This window comes from Homo sapiens, chromosome 11, assembly GCF_000001405.40.
Source record: "Homo sapiens chromosome 11, GRCh38.p14 Primary Assembly".
Classification (NCBI taxonomy): Eukaryota; Metazoa; Chordata; class Mammalia; order Primates; family Hominidae; genus Homo; species Homo sapiens.
In genome coordinates, this window is record NC_000011.10 from 133,121,683 (window position 1) to 133,140,439 (window position 18,757).

General features: G+C 41.5%; 1 protein-coding gene across 4 annotated transcripts in view, besides 1 other annotated feature; it reads right to left on the reverse strand.

The window, feature by feature from the left end:
• OPCML (opioid binding protein/cell adhesion molecule like) overlaps positions 1-18,757 on the reverse strand; it is a 1,117,521-nt gene that overhangs the window by 706,702 nt on the left and 392,062 nt on the right. The gene's annotated exons all lie outside the window — the stretch shown is intronic.
• Positions 12,912-13,206: a silencer, noted in NCBI's record as "tiled region #13378; HepG2 Repressive non-DNase unmatched - State 12:CtcfO, and K562 Repressive DNase matched - State 12:CtcfO". NCBI's record gives its function as "represses a minimal TATA promoter and a strong SV40 promoter by Sharpr-MPRA in HepG2 and K562 cells {active_cell/tissue: HepG2 | K562}" and the evidence as "EXISTENCE:reporter gene assay evidence [ECO:0000049][PMID:27701403]".

An 18,757-nucleotide genomic window follows, 5' to 3' on the forward strand; every position in this document is an offset into this window, starting at 1 on the left:
TAAATATTTTAATTTACACTTGATAACACTAAAGTTCATTTGTTTCATGCCTACCCATTTAAGGCTCTTGAAATCTGCCAGCATGTTTTCCAGATGAATACCATTTCATTTCTTGACAATCCTTAAGACCTTCTAAAATATTTGAGATTACAAAACGTCTTCTATTTGACAAGTGGTTTCAGAAACAATGCCCCAAGCGACTTCTAATGTTAACATTTCTGTCCCCAGGAAAGTGATCATTTATAATTACGCCTTATTTTTGGCCCTTAAAAGTTACAAAATATTCATGCCATCTTCTTATGATTATTTGAAGCATATTGATGTAGGGCCTGGTCAAATGCTTATTGAAAACCCATATTTTCAAGGCTCCCATATTCTCATATATATCCATATAACATTTGAGAAAGCAACTTAGGAATAGTGTAAAATTGTTGTTCCTGGTAATAGTAGAGATAACACTAGTCGAATATGGGTAGTTGTCCTTGTCTACTGCACTGTGTTTCTGAAAAGAGCATGCATGGTGGTAATCATATAGACATGGACGGAGCTTGGGATTCTTGAATTCTAGTTCCAGCTCAGCTGCTGCTGGTTGCCCAACCTTGGGATAGTCTTGGGGGAGCAGTGGCTAATCTTCTTGGGACTTCCTGTTTTTAATCCATAGTAAGAGTGGTAGGGTAAAGTCTTCTCCAAGAAAAATGGGGTTTGCAGTGTCATCCTGCTGGCTAGTAACAGACCTAGAATTGCTGAGTCAGATCTCTAGTTCCAAAACGTGAGCATGGAAGTTGTCAGGCACTTCTGGGCAGGAGGCCTCTGATTTCTGGTTGACGGTTCTCACATCCTCCTGGGTGCTTAGATTTCTCACATTCCAGCACATGCACATGGTCTGACAGTGGTTCTTCATGAGGAGCGGAGGTGGGGAGCATGGAGAGTGTGTGAGAGCCACCTGGGCACCTTTTTGTCAAAATATACTTCCCCTCCCTATACCTTTCCTCTTCTCTCCAGCACAACTCAGCGTTGATTTACCTAGCTAGCCACTTGTTAATTTCCAGATGATGCTGACATTCATCTCCCAAATCCACCTCAACTAGAAAATTCAACATACCTGCTGTCCCAGGTAAACTGGAATCTAGCATCTCTCTCAATAAAGGCTTAGCAAAAGTTCGCTGACACTGCTATGGCATTTGGCCCTACAGCCAGCGAGTAATTCTATTCTCCAGCTGCTTTCAGCATTATAAGGTATTCACATTCCCTTTTCATTTGGAAATCACTAGCAATGTGCTTCTAAAATACTGCAAAGATAGATATTCTAAAATTCTCTCAGAGCCTTCTGAAAGCAGAAATAATGTTTTTCCATGACTTTTTCCTACAAAGTGACTTGGAAAAAATATTTCAATCTGCAGAATCAATTCCCTCTCAGAGCAGTGCATACACTGTGACAACCCCAAGGACATGGATTTGAAGGAGAATTTTCTCCTATGACATCATGCAGTAAGAAATTCCCTCAATTCCAGACACTTTATTGATTATATGGTTTGGGATCAGCCAGCTCATTTGGGTGACAGATGATTCTTGCCCTTGTGCTACCCTTGTATTTCTCAGACTTTAAAAGATTTTGAAAAGATCATGAATATTAAACAGAGACCCTGGGTGAAGAAATTCTCATGCTAGGGACCATATTGTTGTTTATCAAAGTCTGTTTGTGTTTTATTTAGATGCGTATTTGCTGGGTAGTCTTTTTATTGTTTGCCCTGGTGGAAATGACAACCCATAAACACATTTTACAAAATCTTTGCTTTTAAGATTTAAACAAGGGATGTGCCTGAGCCAAGGGCAGCACGCCTCCGAGGGTGACAAGCTATTCTGGACGGGTTCCCCACCTCCCTCCCCTGAAGCTGTTTTATCCAGGGCCATCTGGTCAGCCCGGCATGCTTGGAGGAGCAACACAGGGGTCCAGATGGATGGGTTCTTGGAGAGTTCTTTAAAAACCCATGCACCCAACCCCTGAATAACCATATGCCAAAAGGTCACCGCCTCCTGAGTGGCATCCTTCCTGGGTCTCTCTCTGTGGTTGTTCATTCGGATTCAGCACCCTGGTGCTTTAAGGGGTTATGGGGTTTTAATTAATTCATTATTATAATTATCCTAAGTGCTGGTATCGTTGGTATCAACGTTCCATGTCATCTGAGGTTTCAGAAAATAAAACCAGAAGGAGGAAGTGGGATATACTGAGCGGTCTCTGTGCCAGACAAAAGCAGAGCCACCCCCAAGAAGTTGGCAGCATGAGTCGGGTCAAAGACTGTCAGTTTTGTCACTATCCTTCAACATGAATGCCAGCAATGACTACCACACCTTAAAGGCACAGAAAATGGTGTTATCTATGCTTTGCAGGTGGGTACCCAATGGAGAGAAGGAAATGTAAGAGAAGAGTGCAAATGAGAGGGGGGATTAGTCTACTTCTCCCATACTTAAGCCATACCCTCAGGAAATTTAGAAAAAAAAAAAGGCATTTTAAGAAAGTGAATTTATTCTCTGATTCTCTTAAGTCCAGCTTTCCCTGAAGGTGAAGGTTAAGCAGTCTGACATTTACAGTTGTCTCTCAGCCCTAGGGTTCCCCCATTTCGGGGGCTCTTTGCAAAGCTCTCAGCAAATTCATTAGGATGCAGCCAACCACAGCAGCCTGGTATCAGGACATCTCCTCTGCCCAGGGCACCCTAGACCCATCTTTATGGCTTGTCTGCTACATCACAGATTCAGTGGCCCCTCCCCAGAGAGATAAGTCAATGCAACCTCAACTGGTGACTTGCTATGAGTGGCACACACTTCACAAGGGTCCCTCAACAGTGTGAAAAATCTCATTAAAGCCTGACATTTGCTGAGCATCACCAGAGGGCAAAGGTGTCCGTTCCAATCACAGAGCCCCACTGCAGAGCCCAGCAGACAGTATGGGGGCATTGAGACTGAGCTGTTATCTTCAGGCCCCTTGTTCCTCAGCCTTCATCACGTTCTGCAACCCTGAAAGGCTCATGCACCCTTGCAGAACCCATCTGATTTGGATCCTCAAAATATTTTCCTCACCTCCGCCCTCCCATCATTTTCCTCATAGTCTCCTTGTTCAATAACTTTGCCAGTAGTTTGTTCAAAACCAGTGTAGGAACCTGAATAATCTTTCCATTCAATTTCTTTCTACTTGCAAGAGAATGGAGAGACCTAAGGAAGAGAGGTCTTCCCAGTGGACACCCAATGAGGAGTCACTTCTTTCCTGTGTGTACTTGGACATATTGGGCAGTTGTCTCTGCTTAAACCCCATATGGGTTGGGAATTCATACAAATAAGGACAAAAAGCCCCAATGGCCTAAGCTCCCCATTGTCCAGGCAACCGTTTGGAATGGCGATTGTAATCACTGGAGATATACTGATTGGCTACAATCCTGGTTCTAAGAAGCAACGTCGGGAGGTAGCTCCTTTCTCAATGCTTTGGATGTGTAGAGAGGGTATTTAAACTACCCCAGGAAGTTGAGGAGGTCACTTTATTATATAGACTTGCATCCATTTTCCCTAAGTGAAAACATCCCTTCCCTGGATTCAGTTGTGGTTAATTAATCAAAGCCATTCCCAGTGTCTATGTTTGAGCTTTACCTACCAGAACTCTTTGTAATTCAGCCTCTATCTCTTTTTCTCTTCCTCTCTACCCCACCAATGCTGCAAACATTCTAGCACTTACTGCATCAGCTACGTATTCATGTTTTACATACAGAATCACTACTTTTCACCAAAGCCTGCAAGATATTTATATCATCATTCTATAATCCCTCCCCTAATGGTTGTATGTGAACTGTGTATTAGTGTTCTCCAGAGAAATAAAACTAATAGGATATATATATATATAAAAAATATAGACACATGTATATATATAGTGTGTATATATACACTATATGTAGTATCTAGTATATAGTATATATACATGTGTCTATATATACATGTATATAGTATAGTATATGTATATAGTATATATAGTATATATATAGTGTATATATATGTATATAGTATATATAGTATATATATAGTATATATATACATGTATATATAGACACATGTATATAGTATATATACATGTATATATAGACACATGTATATAGTATATACACATGTATATATAGACACATGTATATAGTATATACACATGTATATATAGACACATGTATATAGTATATACACATGTATATATAGACACACGTATATAGTATATACACATGTATATATAGACACATGTATATAGTGTATATATATACATGTATATATAGACACACGTATATATACATGTATAGACACATATGTGTATATATACACTATATATATACTACATATACACATGTATATATATGTACCATACACACACACACACACACACACACATATATGAGAGAGAGAGAGATTATAGAAATCGGCTCACATAGAGGTTGAAAAGTGCCACGTTCTGTTGGAGAACCAGAAAAGCAGGAAAGCCAGTGGTATAAATCAGTCTGAGTCTGAAGGCCCAAGAATCAGGAGCATTAAGGTTCCAGGTCTGGAGAAGGCGATGTCTCAGCTCAAACAGAAGCACATTTTCCCTTCCTCTGTCTTTGTGTTCCACTCAGGCCCTCGATGGACTGGATGATGCCCACGCACACTGTGAGGGTGATCTGAATTCAGCCTGTCAGTTTCAGCGCTCATCTCTTCCAGAAACACCTTCCCAGACACACCCAGAAATAATGTGTCACCAGCTATCTGGCATCTTTTAGCTTCGTTGAATTGACACATAAAATTAATCATCACAAACAGCGCACAGAAAAGCACAGAGGACAATGGACAAATGCATATGTGCCCATCATCTAAATGTAATGTGTTACATTCTGTCACTTTTACTTTAGACATTATTAAAGAATGGATAAAAATCTTACAGATACACTTTAAGTCTCTTTTGACTCCTTCTGCCCAATCCCATATAAGCAGCCACTATTGATGTGTATCTTTCAAGTCCATATTTTAAAATTCTTTCTGGGAGAACAATGAAGTGATTGAGTAACTTGCCCAAGGCTACCCAGCTACACAAAGATACTGGGCCTGGAATTCCAGCTCCCTCCTGGGATTCGAAGCCATAGGGACCCACGGGCACATGCAGGAGCTTGACAAAGGGGTAGCAATGGAAAAGGTGCATGTCATCACTGAAAAAGAGAGTGCCTGGAAGAGGGGCAGGTAGGGAGAGATATGGTTCTTTTTAATTCAGCATTCTGGCAGAGAAGTGGTGGGATGGTACTTTAGATGGCATCCACATTTTCACTGCATGGCCAGCTCTATTGACACTACCTCCTTTTTCCCATCTCCAAACTTTCAAAATATAATGAGAGTATCTGTAAACCTAGGAAAGGTAACAAGAAGCTGTCCTTAGATCTGCCCCTTTCCCTCTTTTGATCCATCATCTTGTACTTCTAGGCTTAAATGGCTTTGCCATGTCCTGCAGTGGATATTCTTCTAGATCCCTGGTAATTTAAAGTACTATTATTCTAAAGTTTCAAGAGCCAACCATTTTGGGTCTCCTTTGTATATCTGTCAAATGATGATAATTATAGGTCCTCTGAGTATCTCTTAGGGTCATTTGAAGGAGAAAATGAGTCCAAAGTCATTTATCTTGGCCGGGCATGGAAGCTCATGCTGGTCATCTCCCAGCTACTCGGGAGGCTGAAGCAGGAGCATCGCTTGAGCCCAGTAGTTCAAGATCAGCCCGGCAACCTGGAAAAACCCTGTCTCTACAAAAAATACAAAAATTAGCCAGGCATGGTGATGCATGTCTGTAGTCCCAGCTACTCAGGAGGCTGAGGTGGGAGGATCACTTGAGCCCGGGAGGTGGAGGATGCAGTGGGCTGAGACTGCACCACCGCATTCCAGCCTGGGTGACAGAGAGAGGCTCTGTCTCAAAAAAAAAAAAAAGTCATTTATCTAATAAATATTTACTAATTATCTACAATGTGCACAGGCTTGTGCTACTAGGGATATAAATGTGAACAAAACAAATTGCTGTCATCACAATTTATCATCTAATTAAGAAGAAAAAAAGAAAAACACTAAAATGTATTTTTCTAAAAGGGGAATATAAGGGACTATGCAAGCATCAAGGAGGGGCACCTCATATGGACATAAGAGATAAATGATAACACAGGCTTCCAAACGGGGCTCTGAGTGACGGGTCTGGTTGGCCAGCAGAAGACGGGATGATTATGCGCTTTGTTCCGCATATGGAAGACAATGTGGTTTTTAAGATAGGCTGGTCCTGCGGTTCAGGCACCCATCAGTCCACATCACCACAGCATGACTGTTTTCCCTTGAGTTTTTTCAGGAATCCCTTATGTGATCTTCAGCTCCCCTCCTTGCTGTCCTTAGTCCTGATACTCTTTACCGCAGGTTTCCTCACCCATTGGTCTCCAGCACCTCACAGTGACTGCTGAGAGTGGAGGCATACTGAAAACTGATGGAATAAAGGAACTAATGAAGAGTGCCAAATGCATTGGCAGCCCCGTCCCCTCATGCCCAAGGGATTCCTCAAATACCCCTATGGAGGTGGAATCCAGATTCATTGCTCTTCTGACAGTTGTCCTAATGCCTGCCTTGCAGAGTCAGTCTGAAGGAGCTGGCAAATAGCTTTCTCAGCCTCCCCTTCCATTTCGAATGTAAAAAGTAGGAGGGATGAAAAAATGGAAGGGGAATAATCTCCAGAAAGGGCTTCCTTTTATTCCTTTTGGAATCCACTTTTCTGTACCACTCCCTGAGCCAAGTTCTCCACTCCACAAAATGAACTTCTCCCTCATGTGTAGGGCATGGCTCAGACTTTCAAACGGTGTAGTCCCTGCCAGTGGAGAGGACCCCTGGAGGTATCTCAGAAGAAGCGTGAGTCTCCGAAGGAGCCTCAGATGCCATAGCTTGGCGTAAGCAGCCTTCTCATGGATGGGAGCTCTTTGTCTACTGACTGTGAACTCCAGGGTGGAAAAGATACAGATTCCCAGGCCTGTCAGTGTTGCTCCTGAGAAAAGCTGCATCTTTACAACGAGCTTTTCATTGACACCAGGAGAGGGAGAGCTGTTACTGTGACCAAGAGAGTGGAGAAGAAATGCCAGTCAAAATGAAGCTCTCATGAGGACCCCAGGAAGCCCTCTCTGTAGCCCGGGCTTCTGCTTCTGGCCAAAGTGCAGTAACAGGGACCAGTTTTGCCCTCCTACCTGAAACAATAAAAAAACACACAGAATATCTACAGCAATCATCTTCGAGGCCCTGAACATCAGGTGATGAGACAGAGGTCCGCGAGAGCTGGAAAACAAAGTAAACCCACAGTTGTGACAACTCATTGCCTTAAGAGTTTACACAGGGGAAGGGGAAACAGGTGGGAACTGAAAGACTCTCTGAGTTGAAGAGATGAAGTTGAGAGTCTGGGGGAGATCAAAGCAGCTGGAGTTTCCAGAATGGAGTGCTAGAGAGGAGAGAGTTAGCTACACAGAGAGAGAGCTTCAGAGATCTACAAAGAACTCCTCCCAAGTACTCAGTTGAGTACAGATCAGACCATGCACGTAAGGGAACTACCCAAGGCAGGGGAGAGGGTTAGTAGTAGCAGCACACAGGGCCAAGAAGAGTGCTTGCTCCTAGCCACCACGCAGGAAAGCCGTGTAATGCACCGGATATTGGGTAGAGTACACCGAAAGATTTTCAGTAAGGAGGGATTAGTCCTAAGTTCTGCCTAACACATTTCAGAGGCAAAACCCAAATGGATGAAATTATTTTCTTGTAATTCAAATGTATCCCAGGACAAAGGTCAATAATACTTATAGAAAAATAGAAATATCTTGTGCACAACAAGATACAATTCCCCATGCCTGGCATTTAGTTTAAAAAGTATCAGGCATGTAAAGAAGCAAGGACTGGGTGTGGTGTCTCACACTTATAATTCCAGCATTTTGAGAGGCTGAGGTGGGAGGACTGCTTGAGGCCAGGAGTGTGAGACCAACCTGGGCAACATAGCAAGAACCCATCTCTACAACAATAATAATAATAAAAAGCTGTGTGTGTCATGGCACATGCCTGTAGCCTCAGCTACTTGGGAGGCTGAAGCAGGAAGGTAACTTGAACACAGGAGTTTGAGGCTGTTGTGAGCCATGATCACACTATTGCACTCCAGTCAGAATGACAAAGCAAGAACTTATCTCTAAAATAAAATAAATACATAAATAAAAATAAAGAAGCAGTAAAATATGATTCATATTGAAAAAATCAGTCAATTAAAAAAAGCAAGAATTGACACAAATTATGTATAGATATTAGAATTAGTAACCAAGGATACTAAAACAGTTATTATAACTGTATTCCATACGTTCAAATAGTTAAGCAGAGACATGAAAAATGAGCAAACAATCATCTAAGCCATACTTCCAGAAATAAAAAGCTACAATGTGTGAGATAAAGAAAATACTAGATAAGAATAATGACAGATTAGACAATGAAGAAGAAAATACTGAACTCAAATACACAACAATAAAAACTACTGAAAATGAAGCATAGAAGAAAATATATGATAAAAGAAAATGTGTGGAACATTAATGATCTGTGAGATAACTTCAAGAGGCCAAATATACATGTAAATTGAGTTGCTATAGGAAAGGAGAAAGGAACATAAAAAATGTTTTTAGAAATATTGGCCAAACATTTTTTTCATTTACATTAGCACCAAAATATTGAAATACTTAGATATAAATCTAACATAATATGCACAAGATCTATTTGAGAAAAACTACAAATTCTGATAAAAGAAATCAAAGACCTAAATAAATTGATATTTCGTGTTCATAGATAGAAAGACAATATTATTAAAACATTACTATGATGACTTAAGACTCTAAATTCTTTAATGGAAACACAAAGACCCCCAAATAACCAATACAATATTAAAGAAGAACAAAGTAAGAGAACTGGTACTATCCAAATTCAAGACATACAAAGCTACAGTGATCCAGACAGTGTGTTATTAGCGAAGGAACAGACAAACGGATCAATGTAACAGCACAGGGGGCTTGGAAATAGATCCACACAAACATAGTCAACTAAATTTTGACAAAGGAGCTAAAGAAATTTAATTAAGAACAGATAGGCTTTTCAACAAATAGTGCTGGAATAATTCAATATCCACATGCAAAAAAAAAATGAATCTAGACATAGACCACTGTAGGCTGAATATTAATGTCACTCCCTCACTGCCTCTGCCAAAATATCTATGTTGAAACCTAATTCCCAGTGTGATGATATTTGGAGGTGGGAATTTGGGGTGGGGAATAGGTCATGAGAGCAAAGGCCTCATGAACGGGATTAGTGTCCTTACACAAGGGACCCTAGAGAGGGCTTTTGTACCTCCCACCATGCAAGGACAGAGCAAAAGATGGCTGTCTGTGAACCAGGAAGCAGGCTTTCAGCAGACACTAAATGTGTGTTTTGATCTTGGACTTCCCATACTCCAGAACTGTAGGAAATAAATGTCTATTTCCTACAGTTGTTTATAATCTACCCAGACTATAGTATGTTTTTACAGCAGCCAAAATGATGTAAGTCACAGACCTTACGTCTTTCCCCAAAATTAAATCAAAATGGACCATAAATTTAAATGTAAAAAGCAAAACAGCACAACTTCTAGAGTATAACATAGGAGAAAATTATTTTAAAAAGTTCAACATCATATGTCATCAGAGAATGACAAGTTAAAACAACTATGATCTCCCACTACAGACCATTAAAATTTACTACAATTAAAAATAGTGACAACCCCAAATGTTGACAAGGATGTGAAGCAACAGGAACTCTCAATCATTGCTGGTGGAAATGTAAAATGATGCAGACAATTTTGAAGACAGTGTGCAGTTTCTTACAAAGTTAAACATAGGCTTACTCTATGATATAGCAATAACACCCTTAGGTATTTACCTAAATGAGTTAAATACTTATGTCCACATAAAAACCTGCCCATGAATGTTTGCATATATTTAAGACCTAAAATTTCAAGTGCTGTCTTAACATGTTTGAACCTCACAGAGCCCAGATGTCTAATTGTATGTTCTTTTTGTCTTTATATGGACAACTGGTTTTTGACAAATGTGTTAAAGCAATTCAGTGGAGAAAAAATAGTCCTTTAAACAAATGGTGCTGGAAAAATTGCATATCCATATGCAAAATAATGGACTTCAATCCATATTTTATACCATATACAAAAATTAACTTAAAATGGATTATGGACCTATATGTAAAATATAACGCTGTAAAACTTTTAGAAACTTTCATAAAACAACAAAGTGACAGTTGGACTTCATCAAAATTAAAAATTTTTTTGAAAGACATTGTATAGAAAACTAAAAGACAAATACCACTGAAAGTGTTTTCAAATCATACAGCTAATAAAGAACTTGTAGACAGAATACACAGAAACTCTCATAATTTAACGCTAAGAAATACCAGCCCAATTAAAACATTGGCAGATGATTTGAAAAACACTTCACCAAAGAAGATACACCACTGGATAATAAGCCCATGAACAGATGCCTGACATCGTGAGTTATCAGGGAAATGCAAATTAAGACTGCAATGACAAGCCACTACAACACTATTCAAACAGCTACAATTAAAAAGACTGATTATACCTGGTGCTGGTGAGGATATGGAGGACTCTGTCCTCTCATACACTGCTGGTCAGAATGTAAAATGATACAACTACTTTGGAAAATAGTGTGACAGTTTCTTGAAGAGTGAAGCACACCTATTATATGAGCCAGCCATTCCTCTTTTAGGCATGTACCCAAGATAAATGAAGGTATACGCTAATATTCATATCAACTTTATGATAGCTGCAAATTGGTAGCATCCCAAATGTTGACCAACAGCTGAATGGCCAACCAAACTGTGGTGCACCGATACAATGGAATACTAATCAGCAATGAAAAGAAAGGACATATTGATACACACATTTGGCTGAATCTCAAAATACTTACGTTGAGTGAAAAGGAGCCAGAAAAAACAAGAGTACATTCTCTATAATTCTATTTACACAAAAAATAGAAAATGCAACTCATCCACTGTGATAGAAGCGATCAGTATTTTCCTGGGATCACAAAGGGAAGCAAAAAAAAAAAAAAACTTGGGGGACAAAGTCCACAAAGATACTCAGGGCCCAAAGATATGGAGATGGGTGGTCGGTAGACTGGCCAGTGGCGTTAGGGCTGGCATGAAGTCCTGAACTTTTCAGGAAGCTCTGTGAGGGCTTAGAACCAACGTCAGAGAAACCAGAAAGCTTATTTCAGGTTGTTTGGTGTCTAATAACTCAGAAATTAAAATTCTGCCTGCAAAGTAGGTCCCACACAGCCTGAAAATTCTCTGCTTTGTTAGGACTCAGAAGGCATGGCCTCCAAATGTTGCCTAATGATAATCAGGGCTGAAGTGGAATCAGATGCAACAGTTCCTGAGATCTGACATCATCCTTAGGTGGCCTCAGGCCCCTGGGTGGCAGGGCGGCTGGAGTCTGGTTCGGAAGCAGTGTCCTGATTGTGCAATCAGAGATAATTGGTTTCTAACTCTGATCCCATTTATTCTTCCCATCTCCAGCCAGGAAAAGCTGCCTTGGCTCCTTTGTTTTTAGCCTCCACATTTTCTTACTGTCAGCTGCTAAACATTTTCGTTTCTTCCATCTTCTGGCATCTTCTCTTGCCTACCTCATGCAGCCCTTCCCTCACCTTCGGGCTGCTCATCATTTACTCTCCTCTCCTTGCCCCCTGGGCAACACAGGCAGCCCGTTCTCCCCATCCCCTTTCCAGAAGAACCCCTGATCACCCTCGGAAAACGTGTCCCTTATGCCATCCCCCAGGAAGTGTAGTAGCTCCCCTCTCTTTCCCTTGAGCAGCAACTACAGAATCCACCCTCCCTTTGATTAATAACATCCCCTGCTGCCATGCTGTTTCTTTAAAAACCAACCATCCCTGTGTCTCTTACACCAGACTGCCAGCTTCCTGGGGTTTGCCTTGCCAGCCCCTTTCCCATCCACGAGTTGCCTGTGCTCAGTGAAAATGTCACTAGGCTTTTTGCATAAGCCCAAGTAAAGCAGAACTCATTCATTCGGGGGGGAAAAAGCCTAGGTTGCAATGACTTTACACATCAATAAGACATATGTATAAAGCTGTTCAAGTTGTTAATGATTCAACATGAAACATCCAATATCACACGGGACAAAGCACCTTACTAACCATTAATGAATACGCATACACAGAATATGAGATCGCTCCTGAACTCCTTTCAGCTGCCTTTGATAATACAGGCTCCTGTATCATCCCTGCCACATAATGAAAACCTCAGCCTGAATTGTATCAATGCAAATCACAGGAGCTGCCTGCAAGCTTGTGTATTATAACTTACCTGTGGGGCCAATAAAAAGATATCCCATTATCAGCCTTGTCCACTTAACTATTAATAAGACATTCCCAGGCCTTCCATCCCATGCCCCTTTCCTGCTCACATGACCAGCACCACAAAACCTGCTTCACTTCCCCACTTGCAGACTTAACTAGGGAAAGGTGCTCCGAGTGATTTGAGCATCTACAAAATGAAATCCACATAGAATAATAGAAGGGAGTTCTTCAGTGGTGCAAGGTCTTTCCTCCCAAACACTGGAAGTCCCAGGGACTGAGGCACCTCTGTCCTGAGCCACAGTCCTTCCATTTCTTCGGAAAGGCCTTCCTCAGAGTCTTAGGTGGGTGAGTGAGCTGCATATGGCCCCTGTGCTCTTGTTTCCAGGGCAGTGGAGGCAGGAGAGAAAGGGGAACTGGGCAGTCACCCCTTGGGGGATGACTCTTGGCCCTCTCTTCCTGCTGCGTCGCCTCGGCCATGGGCTCTCCTCCTGAAATATCCTCGACTTGCTCCAGGTCTTGTCCGCTGTCTTCCTTGCTCCAAGGGAACTCTTGCGTGAACCCTGCAAAGGAGCCCAGCCCACATCAAGCGAGATGAGCCACCATCCTGCTACGACCACCAGGTGGTGCTGTTCTCCCTGCACCCAAAGTCATTCATGCCAGGAGGGCGCAGAGAGCTCCCTGCACCCCAGCTACAAGGCAGCAGGAAACACCAGTAAGGTTCCTTGGCTCAGAGCTGTTGTGCATAATTACAGCCACTTTCTTTTACTTGTATTTTCTGGAGTATTTTTTCCATTCCCAGACTCTCCTCCTCTTCATTTCCTGGATATTGTTCTAGTGCACATTTTACACACACTGATTCCCTTTCTTTCTTGAAAACAGCCTCATATTCATTTTAGAATCAAGAGCACTGAATTGTACAATCACTAAAAGGAAATTTCTGGAAAAACTGCTCTGAAAGGCATTTTTCTCCCTGGTTAGCATATCTTGCTTTGGCTGGCACTCCAGTTTGGTTAATTAACAACGCATGGGCCTCTCATTTGATGGTATATTATCTCTTGTGATCTTCACAACAATATTCATAACAATAAATAACAGCTGAAGCGTTAGTGATCCCTGCCTGTTACTGAGGAATTTAAGACGGCACACTAGCCTTATGATTAGCATGTGATTGGCTAGTTAACTGTTGAGGTTCTACCAGAATCACACCCTTTGACTCCTGTTTCTGTCCTGTTTCTCCTTCAACAGCTTTGCCTCTTTCCTGTGCAAGAGGTGGGTGTGTTGATTCCTATTCTTTGCCCTCCATAGGTTTTTTTTTTTTTTTTTTTAACTGTTGGGACAGACTGGGTTTTGTTTTTGAGATAGGAGGGTTTCCTCTCTTAGGAAATGCTCTGCTAAACCTGTCCCTACCCAGTTGAATTTTCTGTGTGGGCGACCAACAATCTCCCATAGATATTTATAGTACTTTTAAAAGTCCTTTTCATTGTAATATTCTGTGTAATCTCCATAACAATTTAGAGTAGGGCAGAAGACTCCCAAAATACAGATGCGAAGACTGAGGCTCTATGGAGTTAACATTCCCACTAGAATGCGTTGGAGTGTCTATGTGCAGGATCCTCAAAGTAGCGTCCTTTTTCCACTCTGCTACCTCTCTCTACCTCAGTTGTCTCCGCAAATAGCGGAACCAAAAGTAGGCTTCTTTATTTTATTTAGGAAAGGACATGAAGGATAAGTTATCTTGGAACCACAAGAGAAACAAGAGGTAAGCAGAATGTAATTACCCAAGTTGGAAAGTTGCCATATGTAACAGCGGCAGAACTCCACTGTGGGACAAAAAAGCAATATTGACCAAGAAATACCATATTACCCTTCACAGACTCATTCTGATAGTTCGTTCTTCACCCATATTTATTCAAAAGACCTAAGAATCTAGCTATTTACTATGAGAAACTCATTACTGGCATTTGCAGATGCTCAGGGATGTAGTGTTTGAGACTGAGAGTAGGAGACACCTAAGAAAAATTAATAATGCATACAGTAAAACCCATTTAGGTTTCTATTTGTGAAGAAGGGCTCTTATGAGTCAAGATAGAGGAGTAAGAGTTTGGAATGATATGCATGAAGAGAAATACAGCAATGGAAGAGTGGGAATAAAGCTTTTGACTGTGGTGTCTATGCCTCTGCTGCCAAACTCAAACCCACCCTCAAACAAAGCAGAAGGAGCTTTTAGTGCAGAGCCCCAACTTTTTTCCCCACTTTCTAGAAGATGGAGTTTGCAAGCACTGCAGAGACAGACTGGGATCAAGGCTCCAGAAAGCAGCTTCCAGATCAATACTGAAGCCTTTGTAGCACACCAGGAGCAGAAAGTGTCTTGGAAGCATCTAACACTAAAAATAGAGCTGCTTCCTAATGGGCTGGGTTGGCTTACAAGAGGCAGAGGTGGGAGGAAGGGCATTCCAGGAAGAGGCGCTCCTGGAATCAGGCATTCAGGCTGGAAAGACTGAGAGAATAGGGAAAAGGAGAAAGGGTGGGGAATAGAGAGAGGGAAAGAGAGAGAGAATACGGGAGTGAGCAGGTGGAGCAAGAAATGCTACATTGGAAGTAAGATTGGAAATTTAGGATGTGGCTCGATTTCGAAGAACCTAAAATGTTGGGCTTTGTTAGTTAAGGAAATACCACTGCAGTTTCTATGTGCACGTGTGTGTGTGTGTGTGTGTGTGTGTGTGTGTGTGTGTGTGTGTGTGTTGGGGAAGGGGTTTTAATGTGTTTCATGGGGGTATTTTAGGGAATATTATTTTTCTATAGAAAGGAATGGTCATCAGAAGTCTACCTTAAAAAATAAATTATTTTGAAAAAATGGTTATGACGGATGCCCTCAAAAGAATTTGCATATTTGCAGGAAGAAAAAGGCCAAAAGGACCATTAACGTGAAGGATGGTTTTCTCATCGCTGGTTTAGCTCCTATTTAACAACAGGAAGCTCTGGGTACTTGTGGAAAGGTTCTGGGAAGTGGGGGGCATTTTTACAGAGCATTTGGCTGAGCCTCTCTTGAAAAACTCTTCTAAGTGTGTGTTTTTATTAATGATTTCAAGTGAACAACTATTCTGCCTTACTCCTGCATTCACTCTTTTGGAAGGCTGGTGAATGATCTTTGGAGATTTGTGTGTAAATCCTGTTCTTATATTTGCTTATTTATATTTTAACTCTACTTAAAATGGAGATTTTTACTTTTCTGCGGTTTTACTTAGGCACAGAGAGAAACAATGTGGATACAACACTTTTCTTCTAAAGATGTTGATATTACTTGCCATGTGTCTGTTTGCTTGTTTTAAATAGAGGACTGACTCATAGCACAGAAGGAATGTCAAGGAGTTCCAGATATCTCTCATGCATTAGGTACTTCAGTAAGAGTCAATATCATGCTGGCCATATTGCTTCTGATATCTTTAGGATCCATAAAATTGAGTTTGGTGTATCATCATGTTATTCTGCTCCTATAAACCCACTTTGAATATCAAGGTCGCCTGAGACAGGCCAAGGTCCTGATCAAGAGGGAGGCTCAATTCAAGTTAACATTTTATGTCCTTCCTGGGAAAAAGAACCTAAAGGTTGTCATTGTTTCATATTCCTCCCCTTTCCATTTAGGGAGAAGTTTCACACTTTAGCAGCAAATTGCACTTCCTAGCAACATCAGGAGCTCTTAAGCATGTCAGGAAAAATCGACATCCAGTGAAAGTGTGAACAGTCTAGAGAGGTTTGCAAACAGCAAATTACATGCACCAAGAAGCTAAAATACAGGTTCCTTTTTCAAGAGTTCTTTTAGGAAGGTAGCTGCTATGGTTTGAATGTGCTTTACCCCCATCAACACTCAGGTTAAAATTTGATTCCCAATGTGGCAGTGTTGGAAAGTGGGGCCCGGTGGGAGGTGTTTGGGTCCTGGGGGTGGATTCCTCATGAATAGATTAATGCTTTCTTGAAAGCGAGTTCTCACTCTCATGGGACTGAATTAGTTCCAGAAAGAGTGGGTGGTTCCTCCCCATGTTTGGTCTCTTTGCACACACCCACTCACTACTCTGCTTCTCTGCCATGTCTTGACGCAGTGTATGACCTTCACCAGAAGCCAAACAGATGCCAGTGCCATATTCTTGGACTTTCCAGCCGCCAGAATTGTGGGCTAAACGTCTTTTGCTTTTAAATTTCCCAGCCTCAGCTAATCTGTTACAGCAACACTAAACGGATTAAGACAAGGGGTACCTCTGTTCAATCAAGGTAACCATATGGGGAAAGGAGCATACGTAGAAACCTATTGCCCTCCTCCTCCATATATAGATCTCCTCTATGGTGGCTAGACAGCCAGTATCTACCTCTGATTTGGAGCAAATTTCCTAACCTCTCAAAATCAAGTTTCTTCACCTGAAAATAGGACAATCTGCTTAATTTCCTGTTTGTAAATCCATGGTAATGAACATGCCTTCCATAGCCATTCCCATTATCCTCTTGGACTACCAAATCCCATTTATGCCTAAAAGGAAGGCCCTCCTCCCACAGATGAAGGGAACATCTCCCACCCCACTCCTGGTAGATGCTGTAGATTTTACTGGTTCCAAAGCTGCGTCTTAGAGCGAACCCTCTCTAAGACCCTCAGATGGTCTCACTCAGGTCTTCTCCAAGAGTAGGCATTCATAGAGATGCCTACATAATGAACCTGCCTTTACTGAGCTCCTAAGCATTGCCCGGAATGCTTGAATGATCAGCAAGTCTATTCTCCATTCATAAACCTAGAAAGAGGGTCTTTCATTGACATGAACCTCCTACCCAGCTGAATGAACAGACTTAGAATACTAAAATACTAAGTACAAGTTAAGTTTCCCAAATTAGAACAGAGTGTATTTCAAAGTATTTGTTGACTATATGGAGCTTAGCATACATTTTTCCAGATATGCCATAAATGATTGTCAGGGTGCCTCCACGAGCCCACAAAAGTAATCTAACACGTAATGTGACTGAAATGCACTTATTATGGTGCTGCTACACTAATAATTAAGCAAAATGTGAGAACAATTGAACTATATAAATCAGCCTCCCTTCTATGAGTTCACTGAGGGTAGAAACTACATTAAATACCTCTTTGCACAGCAAAACAATAATCGTTGCTAGCACTTTTACAGGGCTTACTGTGCACCAGAAACCATTCTAAGTGTTTACATATCTTAATTAATGTAATCCTCACATTAACCTTCCTGTAAGCTCTATTACTATCCCCACTTTACAGGTGAAAAAACCGAGACTCAGAGAGGTTGCCCAGTGCTAAATAGTTAATAAGTGGTGAAACTGGAATTTGAATCCAATCTGCCTGCCTTCAGATCATCTGCTGTTCCAGAGAAAGCACTAAGGATACATTTATTGAATATTTAGATCTAAATAAATTGCTTTGTTTTTATTGGGGTTCTGACACTTAGAAATGGGAAGGAGTAATTAGAAGAAATGAGGCAGATTGGACTGATATTCTTTAGTGGGAGTGGCTGATGATTTAGGAGCTATGGGAACAGGGAATATCACCTTTGTTGGGCCATGTCTAATTTTACATATGAATGCGGGGCTTGAGTTTTTCTCCAGTAGGCATATGACTCCAGCACTTCCCATTCGGATCAGTCATGATTAGACTTTTATATTTTCCCCTCACAAATGGAAATAAAAGAGAACAAATGTAATTTTCCTGAGGTGACTAGGGAGTCTTAACGAGAAGAGGAAAAGCAGGAAAAAATAGAGTTGAGGCCAGGCGCGGTGGCTCACTCCTGTAATCCTAGCACTTTGGGAGGCCAAGATGGGCGAATCACCTGAGGTCAGGAGTTCGAGACCAGCCTGGTCTATATGGTGAAACCCCATCTCAACTAAAAATACAAAAATTTGCTAGGCGTAGTGGCGCACACCTGTAGTCCCAGCTACTGGGGAGGCTGAAGCAGGAGAATCACTTGAACCCGGGAGGCAGAGGTTGCAGTGAGCCGAGATCGCACCACTGCACTACAGCCTGGGCGACAGAGTGAGACTCCGTCTCAATAATAATAATAATAATAATAATAATAATAATAATACTGATAGGCTGGACGCGGTGGCTTACGCCTGTAATCCCAGCACTTTGGGAGGCTGAGGCGGGCAGATCACCTGAGGTCAGGAGTTCAAGACCAGCCTAGCCAATGTGGTGAAATGCCATCTCTACTAAAAAAAATACAAAAATTAGCAGGGTGTGGCAGCGGGCACCTGTAATCCCAGCTACTTGGGAGGCTGAGGCAGAAGAATCGCTTGAATCT